Genomic DNA, 1,561 nt, shown 5'->3' with positions numbered 1-1,561 from the left:
CTAGTCCTCAGGTGGAGAAAGACAATATTAAAATATCAAATATATAGTATAAGAAATCTGTGCTTATTTAAAATCAAAATGCATTATCGATATTCCAATGAATTATTGCCATATTTCAAAATAATTATAAGCACAACAACCTTTATTCAGCTAACAAATACAAATTAAAGAATACATAATTGTAGGAGAGCTATGAACATGAAAGAATATTTGCAAGCTTCTTTCTTAAAGGAAAGTTAAAATCATTTTGTATAAAGCAGTTTTACCATTTATTTGCATTTGGAAAATGTAAAACACTTCCATTTCAATTACATTAAATTAGTATAAAAGCTTTCTAAAATTAAGCCATTATAGTTTAGACAATTGGTCGAAAGAGCTACTAGAAGGTATGAAATGAAAAGTAAGACTATGACAAATATGTTTCATAACCGCTCACTGCCTGAGCAACCAAGTGGAAGATGTACTTTCAATACAGTATGATTAGATTATACAAGGGACAGAGGGACAGAGTTCTCCATCAAGTAGGCTGAACCCTAACAGTTACCTCAGAGTCATCACGCTTATATATTAAGTAAATCACTGAATTAAAAAACAGAAAATTGTGGAGAGGATAAGCACGCTGTTTCCCAAACATGACAAAGAGAATAGAAAGGGACTGATCCTGAAGAGCTTTGTGTTGTCATCCTTCACAATTTTTTTTCTTAATGTACTAAATAATTTTTAAAATGAGATTAACATGATCAGTTGTTTATTTTAGAAAAATTAACTTACTAAATATTTCAAATAAGAACAGGGTGGAAGGATTAGAGATAGACAATATGAAAATGTTTCGGTAAAATATAATGAAAACTTAAAGTGAGGCAGTGACATATGGAGAATAGGAATGGTATTTACGTGACATTAAGTAAAATATAAGTGAAAAGATCTGGTACTCATTTTAATGCAGGGAGGTCAAAGAGATGAAGAAATTCAGGAAAAATTCTAGGTGGCTAGAGTGACCACATGAAAGGGGAATCATTTTTTTTAGATAGATACTGTAGGAGAAAGACCAGTACATCATACTGCAGAGAAGGGGAGATTAAATAAATAATGCATTTGGATATGAACCTATTGAATTTGAGGTGGATATGGGACATTGATGGAAGTTGTTTAGGACAGGATTATAAATAGGAATCTGAAGCTCACTAAAGAGATTTGAGTTGGAGATGAGAATTTGTATATGCATCATGAGTTTTAGATGAGATCTGAGTCAAGATACCTAGAAAATATTGTCCAGGTTAGTATGCAGACTGTAGTAGTCCAAGGATAAAAAATACATTTAAAAAAGCCCACTACCATTAAAGAATATCTCACAAAGAGGATAGGAAAGTCTGTTAGAAAAGAGTACGAAGTGAAAGCACTATAATCAGAATACGAAATGAGAAAGCTTGAAAAATACTGGTGTCTTTTTACACTACTAAAAACAGTCGAATAAATTAAGTTTTCTGTAGGACTCGGTAACCAGAAGGCTTTTGGGTTATGAATCTGCATTGGAGAATGAAAACCAGATTTCTTAAAATGA

At 31.8% G+C, this 1,561-nt stretch overlaps 1 annotated feature.

Moving 5' to 3' along the window:
* Positions 1,167-1,336: an enhancer, noted in NCBI's record as "experimental_75875 CRE fragment used in MPRA reporter constructs". NCBI's record gives its function as "activates a minimal promoter by MPRAs in K562 erythroleukemia cells, with activity observed for both the introgressed and non-introgressed 4:167262541 variant alleles {active_cell/tissue: K562}" and the evidence as "EXISTENCE:reporter gene assay evidence [ECO:0000049][PMID:34662402]".

The sequence above is a fragment of the Homo sapiens genome, chromosome 4 (assembly GCF_000001405.40).
Source record: "Homo sapiens chromosome 4, GRCh38.p14 Primary Assembly".
NCBI classification, from domain to species: domain Eukaryota; kingdom Metazoa; phylum Chordata; class Mammalia; order Primates; family Hominidae; genus Homo; species Homo sapiens.
The sequence above is the reverse complement of the archived record's forward strand: the minus strand, read 5'-3'. Positions and strand labels throughout refer to the sequence as shown.